Source organism: Homo sapiens, chromosome 12 (assembly GCF_000001405.40).
Source record: "Homo sapiens chromosome 12, GRCh38.p14 Primary Assembly".
NCBI lineage: Eukaryota > Metazoa > Chordata > Mammalia > Primates > Hominidae > Homo > Homo sapiens.
In genome coordinates this window covers 25,374,710-25,393,450 of record NC_000012.12, presented here as the reverse complement: position 1 = coordinate 25,393,450, position 18,741 = coordinate 25,374,710, and the positions used below count along the sequence as shown (strand labels likewise).

Genomic DNA, 18,741 nt, shown 5'->3' with positions numbered 1-18,741 from the left:
TCTCGGCTCACTGCAACCTCTGCCACAAGGGTTGAAGCAATTCTCCTGCCTCAGCCTCCTGAGTGGCTGGGATTACAGGCACCTGCCACCACACTCGGCTAATTTTTGTATTTTTAGTAGACCACCATGTTGGTCAGGCTGGTCTCGAACTCCTGCCTTGTGATCCGCCCACCTAGGCCTCCCAAAGTGTTGGGATTACAGGCCTGAGCCACCACGCCCGGCCAGCAATACCTTTTTTTTAGATTGTTCTGCCATCTCCATCCCGTCCACACAGGAGTTGGGGTTAGATTTTATCCTAACTACTGAGCAGTGGCCTCTTTCTCTGTGGAGCAAGAGGCTGTGAGGACTTCCCAGGTCACACCCAGGCTCTAGCGGATAAATATCCACTAGATAGCCCTTCCAAGGGTTATCTTCCAAGGGTTATCCTTCCAAGGAAAACCCTTTCATAGAAGGGTTCTGAGGAAAAAACCTAGTTTTCCCTTTTTTCCATTTTCCAAGTAATTGACTCACTTATACGTAATGTCAATGGGCTCTACTAAATCTTTGGGCAAACAATTCAATAATACTTTAGGCTAAGTAGTGCTTCCTCTTGGGTCATACCTTATATAGATTAAAATAGAGCTATTTAATAAAAATAAAATCAACAAAAATGAGCACTCACTCTGTGTAAGACACTGTGTTCAGAGCTAAACTTAGAATATCTTATTTAATCCTCTTAACACCTGTTTGAGATAGACGTTATTCTAATCTAATTTACAGTTGAGGAAACCAAGACACAGAGAGAATAAATATGCTGAGATCATGCAACTATTGTGTCCAGGAACTGAGATAGGAACCCAAGTCTGCCACACCTCAGGGCATGTGCTGTTGTGTCTGGAATTGGTGGGTTCTTGGTCTCACTGACTTCAAGAATGAAGCCGCGGACCCTCGCGGTGAGTGTTACAGCTCTTAAGGTGGCGCGTCCGGAGTTTGTTCCTTCTGATGTTCGGATGTGTTCAAAGTTTCTTCCTTCTGGTGGGTTTCTGGTCTCGCTGGCTCAGGAGTGAAGCTGCACACCTTCACGGTGAGCGTTACAGCTCATAAAGGCAGTGTGGACCCAAAGAGTGAGCAGTAGCAAGATTTATTGCAAAGAGTGAAAGAACAAAGCTTCCACAGTGTGGAAGGGGACCCGAGTGGGTTCCCACTGCTGGCTCCGGCAGCCTGCTTTTATTCTCTTATCTGGCCCCACCCACGTCCTGCTGATTGGTAGAGCCCAGTGGTCTGTTTTGACAGAGGGCTGATTGGTGCGTTTACAATCCCTGAGCTAGACACAAAGGTTCTCCACGTCCCCACCAGATTAGTTAGATACAGAGTATGGACACAAAGGTTCTCCAAGGCCCCACCAGAGTAGCTAGATACAGAGTGTCCATTGGTGCATTCACAAACCCTGAGCTAGACACAGGGTGCTGATTGGTGTGTTTACAAACCTTGAGCTAGATAGAGTGCCAATTGGTGTATTTACAATCCCTGAGCTAGACATAAAGGTTCTCCACGTCCCCACCAGACTCAGGAGCCCAGCTGGAGCCCAGCTGGCTTCACCCAGTGAATCCTGCACCAGGGCTGCAGATGGAGCTGCCTACCAGTCCTGTGGCATGCGCTCGCACTCCTCAGCCCTTGGGTGGTCAATGGGACTGGGCGCTGTGGAGCAGGGGGTGGCACTCGTCACGGAGGCTCGGGCCGCATAGGAGCCCATGGAGGGGGTGGGAGGCTCAGGCATAGTGGGCTGCAGGTCCCGAGCCCTGCCCTGCGGGAAGGCAGCTAAGGCCCTGTGAGAAATCAAGCGCAGCGCCGGCGGGCTGGCACTGCTGGGGGACCCAGTACACCCTCCGCAGCCGCTGGCTCGGGTGCTAAGCCCCTCATTGCCTGGGGCCGGCAGGGCTGGCCAGCTACTCGGAGTGCGGGGCCCCCCAAGCCCACGGCCACCCGGAACTCCAGCTGGCCCGCAAGCACCGCGCGCAGCCCCGGTTCCCGCTCGTGCCTCTCCCTCCACACCTCCCTGCAAGCTGAGGGAGTGGGCTCCTGCCTTGGCCAGCCCAGAAAGGGGCTCCCACAGTGCAGCGGCGGGCTGAAGGGCTCCTCAAGTGACGCCAAAGTGGGAGCCCAAGCAGAGGAGGCGCCGAGAGTGAGCGAGGGCTGTGAGGACTGCCAGCACGCTGTCACCTCTCACTGTGAACCATAGATTATACTGCCTCTCTGTTTCGGTGATTCAGGAGATGTTTTCATTTTTGCTGTGTCTTGGGGCTGATTGCCACCCGTACTGGATATTTATTCTTTTGTGTTTTTTTGTTTGTTTGTTTGAGACTGAGTCTCGCTTTGTCGCCCAGGCTGGAGTGCAGTGGCACCATCTTGACTCACTGCAAGCTCTGCCTCCCAGGTTCAAGCAATTCTCCTACCTCAGCCTCCTGAGTTGCTGGGACTACAGGCACCTGCCACCACACCTGGCTAATTTTTTGTATTTTTAGTGGAGACGGGGTTTCACCGTGTGAGCCAAGATGGTCTTGATCTCCTGACCTCGTGATCCACCCGCCTTGGCCTCCCAAAGTGCTGGGATTACAGGCATGAGCCACCGCGCCCGGCTGGTACTGGATATTTGGATATTTATTCTATAGGGCTTTAGGGAAATGTCTTCAGGATAAGAGAAGCTTCAAAGTCCCATAAAGATCATCTCAAAATCATTATATGGTTATAAAATAAACTATATTGCTTTAGAGTAGGGCAAGCTTGTCCAACTTGCAGCCCAGGACGACTTTGAATGTGGCCCAACACAAATTCGTAAACTTTCTTAAGACATTATGAGTTTTTTTGGCCAATTTTTTTTGAAGTTCTTCGTTAGTGTCAGTGTATTTTATGTGTGGCCCAAGATAAGTCTTCTTCTTCCAGTGTGGCCCAGGGAAGCCAAAAGACTGGACACACCTGGAGTAGAGTAAGTGCAATTAATGATGTTATTTTATACCATCTGAATCCAGAAGTGTTAAGAATACTTGTGACACTTAGCTGAGTGCAATGGCTCATGCCTGTAATCCTAGCACTTTGGGAGGCTGAGGTAGGAGGATTGCTTGAGCCCAGAAGTTAGAGACCAGCCTGGGCAACATGGCAAAACCCTGTTTCTACTAAAAATACAAAAAAAAAAAATGTAGCCAAGTGTGGTGGTGTACACCTGTAGTCCCAGCTATTTGGGAGGCTGAACTTTTCTTATAGTTTCTTACAGTTCAGAGGCTATCCCTCAGCTGGTAGATCTGAGAAGCCAGCATTGCAGTCTACTACAGATTAATTAACTGTCTAATCATTCCCTGACCTCAGGTACTTGCAGCCCTAACTTCATGGAAGCTGGGCCAATTCATAAGGCTTTTGTCACACAGCCAATCTACCCCCAAGCCTTGAAATATTTTTATCTACTGTGCATGCACAATAGAAATGTGAACTTCTATAGATACGACAACTTTTTTAATTACCACTAAAAAGGCAAACATGTTGCCAGGCATATTCTGATGGCACCAACATCCAATATCCATTTTCTAACCTTAGAACTGGCTTGAGGTGTGGTGAACTCATGACTACACATATGAAAAAGATGTGGTTCCTGGACTATTAACTGGGAAAATGGGCCTGTGTTAGTTTGTTAGAGCTGCCATAACAAAGCACCACAGACTCAGTGGCTTAAACCACAGAAATTGATCTTTTCATAGTTCTGGAGGCTAGAAGTCCAAGATCAGGGTGTCAGCAGGTTTACTTTCTTTTGAGGCCTCTCTTTTTGGCTTGCAGGTGCCTTCCTTTTCTCTGTGTCTGCACATGGTCTTTCCTCTATGCAAGCACCTGTCTCTATCCCAAGCTCTTCATTTTTAAAAAATTATTTATTTATTTATTTATTTGAGACGAAGTCTTGCTCTGTTGCCCAGGCTGGAATGTGGTGGCACGATCTCGGCTCACTGCAACCTCCGCCTCCCGGGTGCAAGCGATTCTCCTGCCTCAGCTTCCTGAGTAGTTGGGATTACAGGCGCGTGCCACCACGCCTGGCTAATTTTTGTATTTTTAGTAGAGATGGGGTTTCACCATGTTGGCCAGGCTGGTCTGGAACTCCTGACCTCAGGGAATCCACCTGCCTCAGTCTCCCAAATTTCTGGGATTACAGATGTGAGCCACCGCGCCCAGCTAAGCTCTTCTTCTTCTTCTTTCTTTTTTTTTGTTTTTTTGGAGATGGAGTCTCACTCTGTCACCCAGTGGCACAATCTTAGCTCACTGCAACCTCTGCCTCCCGGGTTCAAGCAATTCTCCTTCCTCAGCCTCCCAAGTAGCTGGGATTACAGGTGCACGCCGCCATGCCTGGCTAATTTTTTGTATTTTTTAGTAGAGATGGGGTTTCACTGTGTTGCTCAGGCTGGTCTCAAACTGCTGAGCTCAGGCAATCTACCCGCCTCAGCCTCCCAAAGTTCTGGGATTACAAGCGTGAGCCACCGTGCCCTACCCAAGCTCTTCTTCTTATGAGGACACCAGCCATACTGAATTAGGGCCTACACGAATGCCCTCATTTAACCTTAATTATCTCTTTAAAGACCGTGTCTCCAAATATAGTCTCTGGGAATTAGAACTTCAACAGACAAATTTGGGGGACTGGGGAGTTAGGATTTCAACATACCAATTTGGGGGGACACAATTCAGCCCATAACAGGACCCAGTTCATAGAGCAGCAGGAGTACTTCTCACTTCTATGAGAGTGCTGGCCTGTTTACCCCTGGCTAACAAAAGAACAGAGTCTCTTCCCAGCCCTGTAGAATACCAAAGCGTTTTCTAAATACATGTTCCTGCATAAAGACCAACTCTTATTTCCATTGCTGCCTCTGCAACTGAGAGAGCACGGAGAACCACAGAATAATTGGTGATCATTATCTGAATGCTTCTATAAAGTGTGGTAAAGTGCTTATTGTGAAAAATGCAGCTGAATTGCCCACATTAGCATTTATGGTAGAGACACACCTCCTTTATCGCTTCATTCGTGGTTTACCAGTTATCCTCTTACCTCCTAGTGACTCAAAGCTGTACCAGCAGCCGACCTCTGAAGGTAGCTGTTTCCTCCTCAAGATGAACAGTTCTGAAAACCAATGGAAGCTAACAGCCAAGATGTGCAGTTTTCAACTTACACAGTTACTTGGGACTTTTTAAAAATATGTTTTCATCTTGGCATATTAATAAGGACGACAAAGAAACAAATTAGTAAAAAGGAATGTCACATTTAAAACACTTAAGGAAAAAGAAAAATAAGACTATTACCAAGAAGGCAGTGGTTATAAGCGTACTTATTCTTGGTCTGGAATACTAGAAACAGTAATGAAGGCACAGGGAAACAAGCTGAGAAGGGAAAGACTGGTGTAAGACTGGTGTAAGTAGTGTGCATTCACATCAGTTCATCTTGATGATTCAACCTGTACAGTACTAAAATTGTTGGGAAAACTATTTTGATGACTAAAACTTTTTTTGTTACATTGGTGTATATTAACGCAGAGAATAATGACTGTGAAACAAATCCATGTTTTACTTTAATATCATCAAGATTGGTTTTAAACCGGTTTCGATTGCTATGGATATGAGAAAGATATTTCAGGTAGTATTCCCTACTGAATGATCACACTTGCTTGTCAATAAATGATTAAAAGTAACTTTAAGAGATGAGTCTCAGTGAAAACTATCTTGAAGGTCAGCTTTCCAGCTTTGCAGTGGGCCCATGCCAGGTGTTCTAGACGTTCCAGGCGCGTTGCCCATAAACCATTTGACAGCAGGGGGAGCTCTTCTGTTAAAATCCGCAGTTCTTTTTAAAAAGCTGTTAGGACAGCATATTCGCTACACATCCAACCTTCAGCAGTAGTTGAAAGTATTGTCTTCAAATAACAAGAGTCCGTCTGAGCTTTAAGTTTTATTCGGGGCGGTGGGGGGGATGTCAAAGTAGAACAATTATGAAATATAATTTAATAAGGTCTTTGTTATTAGTACATGCTTAGTTAACTCTTCTGAATAAATGTTTATGTCTGATTCATTCCACTAATATTTGCTGAGGACCCACTGTGTAAGACACCAACATATATACTTAAGCAGTCATCCCCGTATCGCTACAGGAAGGCTTAGAACTTTAGAATATGACACGAGCATTTTAAGGGAAGAACATTGTAAAGCAAAGCGAAGGCATTAAAAGTCACTGTATTTAATCCCACTCAAAAGTAAAGAGTTCACTATAATATAGCGGTGTTTGGAGCAAATAGCAGAAACAGCTACTATTCTCAGTTTGCATCCTGAAGACACAGACGATTTTGTAACAACCTAATATTAATATATAATAGTATCTACGTATTTATACAGGGCAATCACTGGCACCCCCTGCAACAGAATCCTCGGTGCCTCTACACCCACAACACTGGGTTGCTTCCCTAATTCCAAAGCGTGGTCTTTTTTCCCCTCTCTCTGACCTTCGCCACCCACCCGCTCCCTGGAGAGAATCCACTCGGGTCTGGATCAAGGAGCTGAACATTTTCCATTGCTACAAGAGATTCTCTACCCCCAGAGCCGCAATGGGGGAAAGTCTCCATGTCGCTGTTTCATATTGGCTCATTGGTGCATTTTTTAAAAACTAGGTTTAAACCACAAGGCATTACACATCTTGCGTTTTCGAACCCTCCCTGTTTCGTTTTCAAGATAACGAGGTCTTATTAGAGATCATGCGAAAAGCCCTTTTTGAACACCCCAAGTCGCAAGTCATTGGACAGGACTCTCGCCGCGGCCAGGTCTCACGTGGTTTAAACTCAGCCTCTGCGAGCCACCCAGAGCGTTTGCTGGGGTGTCACTCTGAAAACTATCCTTTTCTGTAGAAATAAAAAAGACCCAGTTTAAACGGTAAGCCCTTGGCTGGCCAAAACTGAGCCTTCTGAGAGGCACTGGCGTCCCGGAGGACCGCCGCCTGACTCAGGACTTGAAAGGTTCCCGAGTTCAAGGGACTCTGGACGCCGCAATCGCCACCCCGCTGTCCCGCCCGCGGCCCCGCGTGCCCGCAGAAGTGGGGAAGGCGTGGCACGAGCACCGGGCTGAGGTCGCCGCCCGGTTGTGCAATCGGCCTATGCAAATAAGCGAGGTTACGCCGCCCAATCGGGAGCCGGATGTGTCGTGACGCACGCGCCGAGCGCCTGTAGTATTTATAGCTCGTATTTAAAGAGCCCTTGGGAGTCTCCCCGGGCTCGGCAGGGCGGCGGCGACGGCGGTGGCTGCGGAGCTGCAGTTAGCGCTGCGCGCGTGAGGTGGCGGGGCGGCAGCCGCGCATCCCGGCCCTGTGGCGTGTTGGGCGTGGGGGAGCGTCCTTACACGTTCCAGGGTGGCTTTTCCCCCACGTCCTCGCTCGGTTTCTGGAAAGGGGGAGGAAACGCTGCAGCTTCTACAGTACTTTTGCTTAAGACAAAGCCAGGGATCAGGAATCTCAAAAGAGCGGGGGGCAGAAGGTTTGAGCCGACCCCACCCCGGCTCTCCATCGGAGCCCCGAGCGGCGCCGTTTCCTGATGCTGGCTGTGCGTAGAGGCGGCCTTCCTGGGGGGAGGGGAGAACAATGCTTCCTGAAAAGCCAAAAGTCGTGGAATTTGGGGGCGGGGCTCGGGCCAATTAAAGTGTATTCGTGGAAAATAAATCGCAAGATAGTGGCAGTGATGATCTTGGCGTTCAATCGATTGATCTGACTTCCCAGCAGCGAACTGCACACTGCAGCGCGAAAGCAGGAAACTGGCATTACGTCAGAAGACAGAAGAGACCCAAATTGCAACGGTTGCATCTGCAGGGCTGGCTGGCTGGCTTCCTCTCCTAAACCTAAACCTTTCCCTCTCCCCACCCCCTTTTGTGTGTGTGTGTGTGTGTGTGTGTGTGTGTGTGTGTGTGTGTGTGTGTGTTTCCAGGGAGCAGCTTCGCTGGGCCGCAGGCTCTGGCACTGGGTGCTTTGTCAGCGAGGCATCGCAGGATTTTAGGCAAAGGCCAAAGGGGCGAGCACTGGCGTGACTCGGGAACTCTTGGCCTCAGTGCCCTGGGCCCCCGTCCCGTGTCACTCTACGCTCTCCTCGGCAAGCTAGTTAGGAGCCACAACTCATTCCTTTTAAAGATAGCGCCGAGCTTGGATAGCTTTCCAAAATTCCTGGAGGGCGTAGGGAACCGCGCTGAATGCTCGGCTGGTGTCCTTAGTTTAGCGCGAGCTCACGTCCACCCCAGGAATACAAGTGGTGAGTGGTTAGAGATCCTAGCAGCATGCAGGACTGGACGATTTCTTAACACGTTGTGAAGGGTCTCATTTCTCGGTATTTAAGGATGTGATCACAAGATTGTTCCCTATCAGGGACCCTTCTCTTGAGGTTTTGTCGCTGCTGTTAAAAATCCCTTAGGGACAAACGTGAAACAGAATGTTGTGATTTAGTACCAATGACCTCTTGGAACACGTTCAAGAGTTTGACACTAGCTTCACCTGCTCCGTCGTTCCCTCACTCCTACATTCAGGGTCATTAGAAGGTAACCTTAGTAACCAGTTCTAGGGTCCTGCCCCACTCCACCCCTAGGCAAAGCTTAACACACACGAAGGTGACGATAATAGCTAATGATTATGGACTGTTACGCTCTAGGCAGCATGCTGCCTGCTTTGTCAGTCATTATCACATTTAATTCTCATAGTAGCTGGTTGAAGCCAGTACTGTTACCCCACTTTACAGATAAGCAAACAGACTCTGAGGATCCGTGTGTCCACCAGCTGAGAGAAGGTGAGCCCAGGCAGTCTGACTCCAAAGCCTCTTAACTTCTCGCATTATCACAGTGGGGAGAGGTCTGGGTGGGGACCTTCCAGGCTCACCTCATACCAGGAAGGCAAAGACTTTCATTCAATCCTGCTATCCTGTCAACTTCGATAAACCTAGTCCCGGTTAAACACGGAAGGTGTCAGGTGACATGTTTTTTTGTGTGTCCTCATGTAAGAGATACTTTTTAGGAAAACCCAAGATACTTAAGCTCATTTTCTCATTGCCTCGTGTTTGCAACAGTATCCTATAATAAAGTCGCTTAATGATTAATCTTTGTATAAGCACTTTACTCCTAGTTCAGGCCATTGGGTAATGGCAGATTCTTTTCTCCTCATTAAACCTACAGGGAAACTAAAGAACTGAGTGATTTGGCCGGGTGTGGTGGCTCACGCCTGTAATCCCAGAGCTTTGGGAGGCCAACGCGGGTGGATCATCTTAGCCCAGGAATTCCAGACCAGCGCGGGAAACCTAACAAAACTACGTCTCTATAAAAAATACAAAAATGAGCCAGGTGTGGTGGTGCGTGCCTGTAGTCCCAGCTCCTTGGGGGGCTTAGGAGGGAGAATCACTTCAGCCCTGGAGGTTGAGGCTACAGTAAGCCAAGATGGCACCCCTGCACTCCAGTCGGGACAACAAAGTGAGACCTTGTCTCAAACTAAATAAATGAAAATAAGAACTGAGTGATTTATCATGTAAATTAGGAGTGAGGTTATGTTCAGAATTAGCTGATAACCTAAATCAAGGCCAGATAAATCTCTTTGCTTTCCCCTTTGGTTGCCTTATCCTCTGATCATTAGCATCTAGACAAGAAAGAGCCAGGGAAGGGAAACTGCCAGTGGTTTGGAAGTATTGCCTGTGAGTAATGTCCGGGAAGGGAAATTCAAATGAGGAAACGTTTAAGGGGAGGGGGCTGTACCTGTTTGTGCAACGACAATTGTCTATAATAAAAATGATTGATTTGGAAGCTAAGTACCTGATACTAGCTCTGCCCCATCCCAGCTGGATGGCCTTAGATAAGCTATGGAGTCTGAGACCCAGTTCCTCCTCTGTAAGGTGGAAGTTAACCTGCCACCCATCTGCTGTTAGCCTTACTCCTGACATTTTCCTCTGCTGCCTTGTGGCCCAGGCTGGAGTGCAGCGGTGCAATCATGGCTTACTGCAGCCTTGATCTCCCAAGCTCAGGCAATCCTCCCAACTCAGCCTCCCAAATAGCTGATGCTACAGATGCACACCCCTATGCCTGGATAATTTTTGTATTTTTTGTGAAAATGGGGACTTGCTATGTTGCCCAAGCTGGTCACTCAAGTGATCCTCCTTTCTCAGCCTCCCAAAGTGCTGGGATTACAGGAGTGAGCCACTGTGCCTGGCCTCCTCTAGTCCCTTAAATGCTAGTGTTTCTCAGTGTTCCCCCCTAAATCCAGTCTCTTATCACTCAACACACTCTCCTTGAGTGATTTTGCCCGTTCATGCCCCTGTAACCACTTGCAGCTTCTCTTTCTTGCTCACGCCTCTTTCCTGAGCTCTAGACCTCTGTATCTGACTGTATATAGAACATTCCCTCTTGGATACCTCAAACTTAAATGTTTCAAGCTGAAATGCTCATTATCTGTCTCCCAGCTATCTCTGATAAGAATCTACCCCACCTATTTATGTCCCCACCCAGCTGTTCAAGTAAAAGCCTGGCTATCACTCCTCTTTGCCTTACCCAGCCCATGAAATTAACGGCCAACTGCTAAACACGGGTTGGGCCGTCAGCTGCCTTCTGTCTACTAAAATCCCAGCAGCTGTATCTCCTCTATCTTTCCCCTTCAGTGGCTCTCATTGCCCTCAGAATGAAGCTTGGCATGGGTTACAAAGCTCCTCAAAATTGGGCCATACCTGAGTCTCCCACTGCTCATCTTGCTTGCATGCCACGCTTCAGCCTCTCTTAATGCTTTCAGTTCTCTAAAGATGCCAAATCCTGCTGTTGTTTCTCTGAGCTTTAGCATAGGCTAGTCCTACAATGAATGCTGTCATCCCATCTCATCCCGTCCTCATGCCCCTTCTTCTCTGACTAAACAGCTGCAACTACTCTTTCATTTCTTACTCTATGTCACTTCCTCCAGAAAGCTGTCCCTGACCCCACCCAGCTCCACTGGAGGTGCTCCTACAGCTTGGTCAAAACACTTCCCGTCACAGCACCTGTGCACTGTGTTCTAAGCGTCTTTTAACTTTTCTGAATCTGTGTCCTTATTCCTATGGAAGGGGGATACAGCAGAGTCATTGGGGATACTTTGTCAATCTGCACCCAAAACCTCATCCACTCCTCCCCATTCCCAGTCTGCCATGAGTGTGTACTGAGCACAGGGTGCCCCTGGTTCTCATCCTGTGCTGCACCCCTCCAGTGTGTCACGGTGGGAGAAAGGCTGAGAGCCACTGCCCTAGACTGGCAGCTCCACAGGAAAGACATTGCAGCTGTCCTGTCACCACCATTTCCCCCATGCCTGGCACAGGGCAAGGTGTATGGTTGTAGGCACTCAGGAAGAACCTGTTTGATTGATTGGGGTTGAGAGAATTAGAAAAAAATGTGCACATTGAGTTCTCAGGACGTAAAAGACATTGGGTAAATCTGGATTGTCTTTCCCACCACTTGCTAAAATGGAGCTTAGGAGTTACCATTTGATGCTTTGTGCCTGTCATCCTTGTCACCCTTCATCCTCCAAGTGAAAGGGAAAGATGTTTAGAGTGGGTTCCTAGACATGCCGCATCATTATCGCTTATTGTTTTAAGACATCTTATGAAACCTAGGCCTAAGTTTTTATTGCCACTCTGTTGTTAGTAAGCAAACTGCCTCCATTTATTTTCTCTGTTGATCTGCTTATTGGTTGTGTTTTGTTTGTTTTTGTTTTTTGTTGTTTTTTGTTTTTGAGACAGGGTCTCACTCTGTCACCCAGGCTGGAGTGCAGTGCTGCTATCTTGGCTCACTGCAACCTCCGCCTCCCGGACTCAGGTGATCCTCCCACCTCAGCCTCCCGAATAGCTGGGACCGTAGGCATACACCACCATGCCCTGCTGATTTTTTGGCGGGGCTCTTTTGTAGAGACAGGATTTCGCCACATTGCCCAGGCTGGTCACAAACACCTGGACTCAAGTGATCCATCTGCCTCAGCCTCCCAAAGTGCTGGGATTACAGCTGTGAGCCACTGCACCCAGCCTGGTTGTTTTTTAAGGAGGAACATGGCTCCCAAAATTCTTTTTTGAGGGAAGCTACCTTCAGAAAAGAAACTTTATTCATAATGTCTTTGAAGAAGTAGGACTGAAACTCGGGAGAGTCAAGGCTGGGGATATAAAGGTGTATATTGGGACCTAATGAGACCCATGGCACTTCTGAGTCTTGGCAGGGCTCCACTGGTAAGTGGGTGACTGCAAGGCAGGCATTCGTGGCCTAGGATAGTCCTGCCCAAAAGAAAACAAGATACAGCCAGATTTGGAGTCAGGGCTAGATTTGAGTTTAGCAGTGTGGCCTCGACCAATAGCACAGCCTCTCTGGGTCCTTCCTTGGCTTCATTCTTGGTAAACTGGAATTTGTTTTGTCCTACCTACCTACAATATACCCCATGGATTATCACAATAAAAACAGTTTGTAAGATATAAAGTAGTGTATAAATATTGAGTATTATTAATATGCAATGTAACTGTAAAGTGGTCAGTTATGTACTGAAAGTCAACACACATTTATTGAGCATCATATGGTTAGGTGATAGGACACAAAAGATGAATGAAGATGAAAAGAAATGTATATTTATTGATCCTGCCGACTTGTGTTCCAAGTGCTTTACAGTCTTTATCTCTTTTAATGTTGCCCAGACTGCCTTCAAGAGGCTGATGCTCAGAAGGATGACACAGGTACCTATTAAAATTCATATAAAGCCAACTATGATAAATGCCAAAATTGTCAAGGCTTAACGAGTCCTTAATAAGTCCTGATTATTTTACCTCGGAAATTTCTCTGATTTGACCCTTCTCTCTTACCCTGTAGCCACTGCCCTAATCTTCTGTGTTTTTAAGCTTTCTTCGACCATGAGGCATGGTAAGAAATACATTTTACATTGTGACACAAGAAATGCATTTTGCAGTTCAAATTTTAATAAAGTCACTTTTATATGCGATGTGAACAATTCGCAAAATGCAACTAAGAGAGGGAATCTACTCAAGATTTAAATACAACAATTAACTCTCCATTTTTTTTTGTCATTTATTTTCCAGGTAATAAACCCTACATTGCACTTTATGGTTTCAACCCTGTCGTACTTTGTGTCCAACATGATGGTACCTATGTTGAATGAGGGAGCAATTAATCTGCGAGACTCTCAGAGGTGAGGGTGAAGGTGGAGAAGGTATAAAGAAATAATGCCATTGATACTTGGCTATGGAAGAATAAAGTAGGATTAACAGACCTATCCGGAGGGGAAGGGCATGTCAAGTGGAGGGAACAGCAGTGGTGAAAAGATGGAGATAGGAGAGTTAGCAAGTGGGGGGAAAGTTCATGGAAGTGAGGTGTAGTGGAGAGTGAGGGCACTGGGTAGAGATAAGGGTGAAATATTACAGTGGGGCTGGTTGTGGAGGACCCTAGATATCATGCTATGAAATATGGATTTTGGCCAGGCGTGATGGCTCACACATGTAATCCCAGCACTTTGGGAGGCCGAGGCGGGTGGATCACTTGAGGTCAAGAGTTGAAGACCAGCCTAGCCAACATGGCGAAACCCCATCTCTACTAAAAATACAAAAAATTAGTCGGGTATGGTGGCACATGCCTGTAGTCCCAGCTACTTAGGAGGCTGTGGCAGGAGAATCACTTGAACCTGGGACGTGGAGTTTGCAGTGAGCCGAGATTGCACTACTGAACTCCAGCCTGGGCAACAGAGTGAGACTCTGTCTCAAAAAAAAAAAAAAAAAAAAAGAAAAGAAAAGAAAAAAGAAAGAAAGAAAAGAAATATGGATTTTACTTTACAGGTAATAATGAGTCAGGCTCCAAGGACATTTTTTTTTTCTAAGAAAAAAGTGACAGGGTTAGAGCTGTCTTTTTTCAGAAAGGTAGCTGCACAGAAGCCAGACTGGAGACAAAGAGACAAGATGGGAAGTAACTGTAACTTAGACAAGTGATCACGAGAGCCTAGAACAGGGGTTTTTCAAACTGTGGTTCACAACCCGTTAGTGAATCCTGAAATGATTTTAGTGGGTCACAACCAAAAAATGTTGTTTCATCCATCTCCCATTTTATGTATTCATAATTACAGGTTATGCATAAACTTTCTGGGCAGTTTAAATTTTTAATAAACTCTCCTCTATGATAGATTTAACTATTTAAAATGAAGAAAGTGAGCTTACTTAAAATTTAGCATGTTTAACTACAGAAACGTTAACTTTCAACATAGACACTGTCATTTTGGATAAAAAGTATGACAAGATTGAAACCATGAAGTATAATGTTAAAATGAGGAAAACATGGATAGTTAATTGTTGGATTTAAATCTTGAGTAGATTCCCTCTTGGCTACATTTTACAAAATTGTGTTTTATATAAAAGTGACTTTATTAAAAATCTGAACTTCAGAATTATGAACCCCGAAAATTTGAGACAGGTCTCAAATAATTTAGAAAGTTTATTTTGGCAAGGTTGAAGACGCACCCATGACACAGCCTCAGGAGGTCCTGACAACATGTACCCAAGGTGGTCAGGGCACAGCTTGGTTTGATGCATTTTAGGAAGACATGAGACATCAATCAATGTATGTAAGAAGTACATTGGGTCAGTCTGGAAAGGCAGGACAACTTGAAGCAAAGGCAGGAGGACTGGAAGTGGGGAGAGAGCTTCCAGGTCACAGATAGGTGATACACAAACAGTTACATTCTTTTGAGGTTCTGATTAGCCTTCCCAAAGGAGGCAATTAGATATGCATCTATCTCAGTGAGCAAAGGGGTGACTTTGAATAGAATGAGAGGCAGGTTTGCCCTAAGTAGTTTCCAGCTTGAGTTCTCCATAGTGATTTTGGAGGCCTAAGATATTTTGCTTTCACAGAATCCTCCCCTCCCCTCCTACCCTACCCTACACTTCCCTTCCCTTCCCTTCTCTCTTTTTTGTCTCGCTCTGTTGCCCAGGCTGGGAGTGCAGTGGCGCCATCTCGGCTTACTACTACCTCTGCCTCCCGGGTTCAAGCAATTCTCGTGCCTCAGCCTCCCAAGTACCTGGGATTACAGGTGCCAGCCACCACGCCTGTCTAATTTTTGTATTTTTAGTAGAGACTGGGTTTTGCCATGTTGGCCAGGCTGGTCTTGGACTACTGACCTCAAGTGATCCGCCCGCCTCGCCTCCCAACGTGCTGGAATTAGAGGCGTGAGCCACCACATCCAGCCCAGAATGCATTTCTTGTGTCACAATGCAAAATGTATTTCTTACCGTGGGTCATGGTTGAAGAAAGCTTAAAAACACAGACTTAGAAGATTAGGGTAGTGGCTATGGAGTGAGAGAGAAAGGGTCAAGATATCAGAGAAATTTCTGAGGTAAAATAGTGAGGACTTATTGACAATTGGATGTGGGGGTAAAGGAGAAGGAAATTAAGGATGACTCACTGGTTTCTAATTTGGGCTGCCAGGGCACATGGGGATATGGCTCAGTTCATTTCCACCAGTATCTCTTGATAGAAAGTATGGAAGCATAGACAAATGAGGAGGGCATTTTTGGAGCTCTTGAGGCACTCCACATAAGTGAAAAAGACTTGTAAACAGGGTATCTTAATAAAACATGGTAACTGCAGTCATAGAAGTATGCATGAGCCCAGAGGCAGCCCAGCGTGGGTGTTCAGAGAAGCTTTCCAGAGAAGACATTCTTTCTGAGATGCGTTTTGAAGGAGAGTTAAAGTCAGCCAGAAGTAGATAGGTAAGAAGGAAACTGACAAGACCAGCGAGAAGGAAGAGCAGGATGTTTATATGAGTCGCTGTGTGTATGCACATAATGTGAGTGGGTGTGTGAGCCAGTGTTGTAAGCAATGTGCTGTTACTAGAACCTTGAGAAGCAAGAGAGGAAGCTGGCTAGGGTAGAGATGGGTTGTAAAAAGCCTTGTCCTTCATGCTAAGGAGCTTAGCTCTTGTGTAAGATATAAAGAGTTACGGGGGTGAGGGGGTGCAGGGAAGGGGAGGGTTATTTGGGGGGGGTTTTGTGGGGTTTGCTTTTTTTGGTTTTTTTTTTTGAGACAGAGTCTTGTTCTGTCGCCCAGGCTGGAGTGCAGTGGTGTGATCTCAGCTCACTGCAACCTCTTTCTCCTAAGCTCAAGCAATCCTCCCATCTCAGCCTCCCAGCTAGCTGGGACTACATGTGCACACCACCCCGCCTGGCTAATTTTTGTATTTTTTGTAGAGACAGGTTTTTGCCATGTTGCTCAGGCTGGTCTCCAACTCCTGGGCTCAAGCAGTTTGCCCGCCTAGTCCTCCCACAGTACTGAGATTACAGGCGTGAGCAACCACACCAAGCCTGGAGGGGTTTTCAATGAGGTTAATAGTGACAAGGGCAAAATAAGGTGACTATTTTTCTTTTTTTCATGTTATAGTCCTCTTTTAAAAAATTATTATTTTAGATTCAGATGGTACATGTGCAGGTTTGTTACATGGGTATATTGTGTGATGCTGAAGTTTGGGCTTCTAATTATCCCATCACCCAAGTAGTGAACATAGTATCCGATAGGTAGTTTTTCAATCCTTGCCCCTTTCCCTCCCTTCCCTCTTTGGAATCTCCAATGTTTATTGCTCCCATCTTTGTGTCCATGTGTACCCAATGTTTAGCTCCCACTTATAAGTGAGAACATGCAGTGTTTGGTTTTCTGTTCCTGTGTCAATTCATTTAGGATAATGGTGACCAGCTGCATCCGTGTTGCTGCAAAGGACATGATTTCCTTTTTTTTTTTTTTTTTTTTTTTTTGTGGTTGCATGGAGTAAGTCTTTAAGGGGAATTAGACTGAAGGTCAAAAGATTGGAAATGGAGAAGTTAGTCTAGGTATGAGTTGCTGGACTGTACTAGGGCAGCAAAAAAAGGTGAAGAGAAATATAGAGAGCTACAGATTGACAAGGCTTGGTTACTAACTGAATATGGAGAACTCTTATCAGTCAGTGTCTGCTCAGGAAAACAGAACCCATGCCAGCAAGTTTAATAGTAAAAAGTTAATTATGGAGAACTTGTTTGAAAAGACATTAGAAAAACTGAAAAGGCGGATAGAAAACAGGAAACTTATAAGGAATAAGGCAGAGCAGGGCTACTACCCCAAAGCTGGAGGGACCAAAGGGACAGGTGGTATTACCGGAGTCCAGGAGCTATGGCTGCCTGGAGGCAGCTGGACCAGAAAAGAGAGGCAGTCACTATGGGAGAAGCACCCTGAAACAAAGAAAGGGAAGATACAGGCTGGTTTTCCTCCTCCTGCTGTCCCGTTATCTTCAGTTGCCCAAATCTAACTAGAAGCCAGTTGGGAAGGGAGCCTGGGAAATGTGACTTTTTGCAAAAAGAGCAAAGCAAGGGAAGGTGAGAAAATAGAAATGAGCATAAATAGGCAAATAAATACGGAATGAGGATAAAGAGGTAGATTAATTCCTCCCTGAAATTTGCTTAGATCAAGGTTGGAGGATAGTGTCAGAACCTGGGATTAGGAAATCAGGAAGAGGATGGGAAGACAGATAAGAAAAACATATAATCTGAATTACTGACTTTTTAAAGTCCCCCTTATTGTAGCATTGTTACGTATATACTTAAGATTATAGGTAGGCCGGGCGCAGATGCTCACGCCTGTAATCCTACCACTTTGGAAGCCTGAGCGGGTGGATTACCTGAGGTCAGGAGTTTAGACCAGCCTGGCCAACATGATGAAACCCTGTCTCTACTAAAAATACAAAAATTAGCTGGAAATCACTTGAACCCAGGACACGGAGGTTGTTGTAGTGAGTCAAGCTCGTGCCACTGCACTCCAGCCTGGGCAACAGAGCAAGACTCCATCTCAAAAAAAAAAAAATTTTTTTTTAAATTTTAAAAGAATAATTTTAATAAATATTTAGAATGGTTTTGTAGAGTCTGTTAACATGGTGGGAGAGGAAATTCAATGTTTTGAAATGCACAGTTCTTCCCCTGCAAAATTTATCCTCCCCCTAGGACTTGTTTGTAACGTTCATGTTTGCAATCTGTAGAAAAACTGGAGGAATTTGCAGGGCGTGGTGGCTCATGCCTGTAATCCCAGCTCTCAGGGAGGCAAGAGGCGGGAGGATAGCTTGAGCCCAGGAGTTCGAGACCTGCCTGGGCAATATAGCGAGACCCCGTTCTCCAGAAAAAGGAAAAAAAAAAAACAAAAACAAGAAAAACAGGAGGAATTTATTGAATCTTTACTAAGTGCCACCCACTGTATCATTAAACAGCCTTTGTAACAACAGATGACACACACTATCTCATTTAATCCATATAATAGTTTTATGAGGTAGGGACTATTTCCCGTTACTATGTTACAGATGAGGAAACTGATACCTAGTGAGGTTTAGTGTCCCTCTTCCCCTTCCCACCTAAACCTTACAGCAGTTAAATGTTGGCTAGTGCCAGAGCATTCGGCTGTCTGATTCAATGCCCAGGCCCTTCTCCCCTGTACTGTAAATGTCTTACAAACTCCAAAGTGTGTCAATCCAAATAATTAAAACGGTGATACTGTAATTGTACCTATATACATCAGTTTCCTATGAACTAGTGAATGTTTTAGTGAATGTTCTCACTTCTTGTTCACCGTAGAGTTTAATAATTGTGCTTTTGTTTCCCAATCTGCAAAATGGGAGTGCAGCAGTCAAGAACTCCTATGGTGGCAAGGGACCAGAAAGCTAAGTCAACATGGCTTATGCATCAAAAG

At 45.9% G+C, this 18,741-nt stretch overlaps 2 annotated features.

The window, feature by feature from the left end:
* Positions 7,090–7,959: an enhancer, noted in NCBI's record as "NANOG-H3K27ac-H3K4me1 hESC enhancer chr12:25538426-25539295 (GRCh37/hg19 assembly coordinates)". NCBI's record gives its function as "activates a minimal SCP1, AML or CMV promoter by ChIP-STARR-seq in primed H9 embryonic stem cells {active_cell/tissue: H9 hESC(primed)}" and the evidence as "EXISTENCE:reporter gene assay evidence [ECO:0000049][PMID:30033119]".
* Positions 7,561–7,710: an enhancer, noted in NCBI's record as "active region_6117". NCBI's record gives its function as "activates an Ori minimal core promoter by ATAC-STARR-seq in GM12878 lymphoblastoid cells {active_cell/tissue: GM12878}" and the evidence as "EXISTENCE:reporter gene assay evidence [ECO:0000049][PMID:35858748]".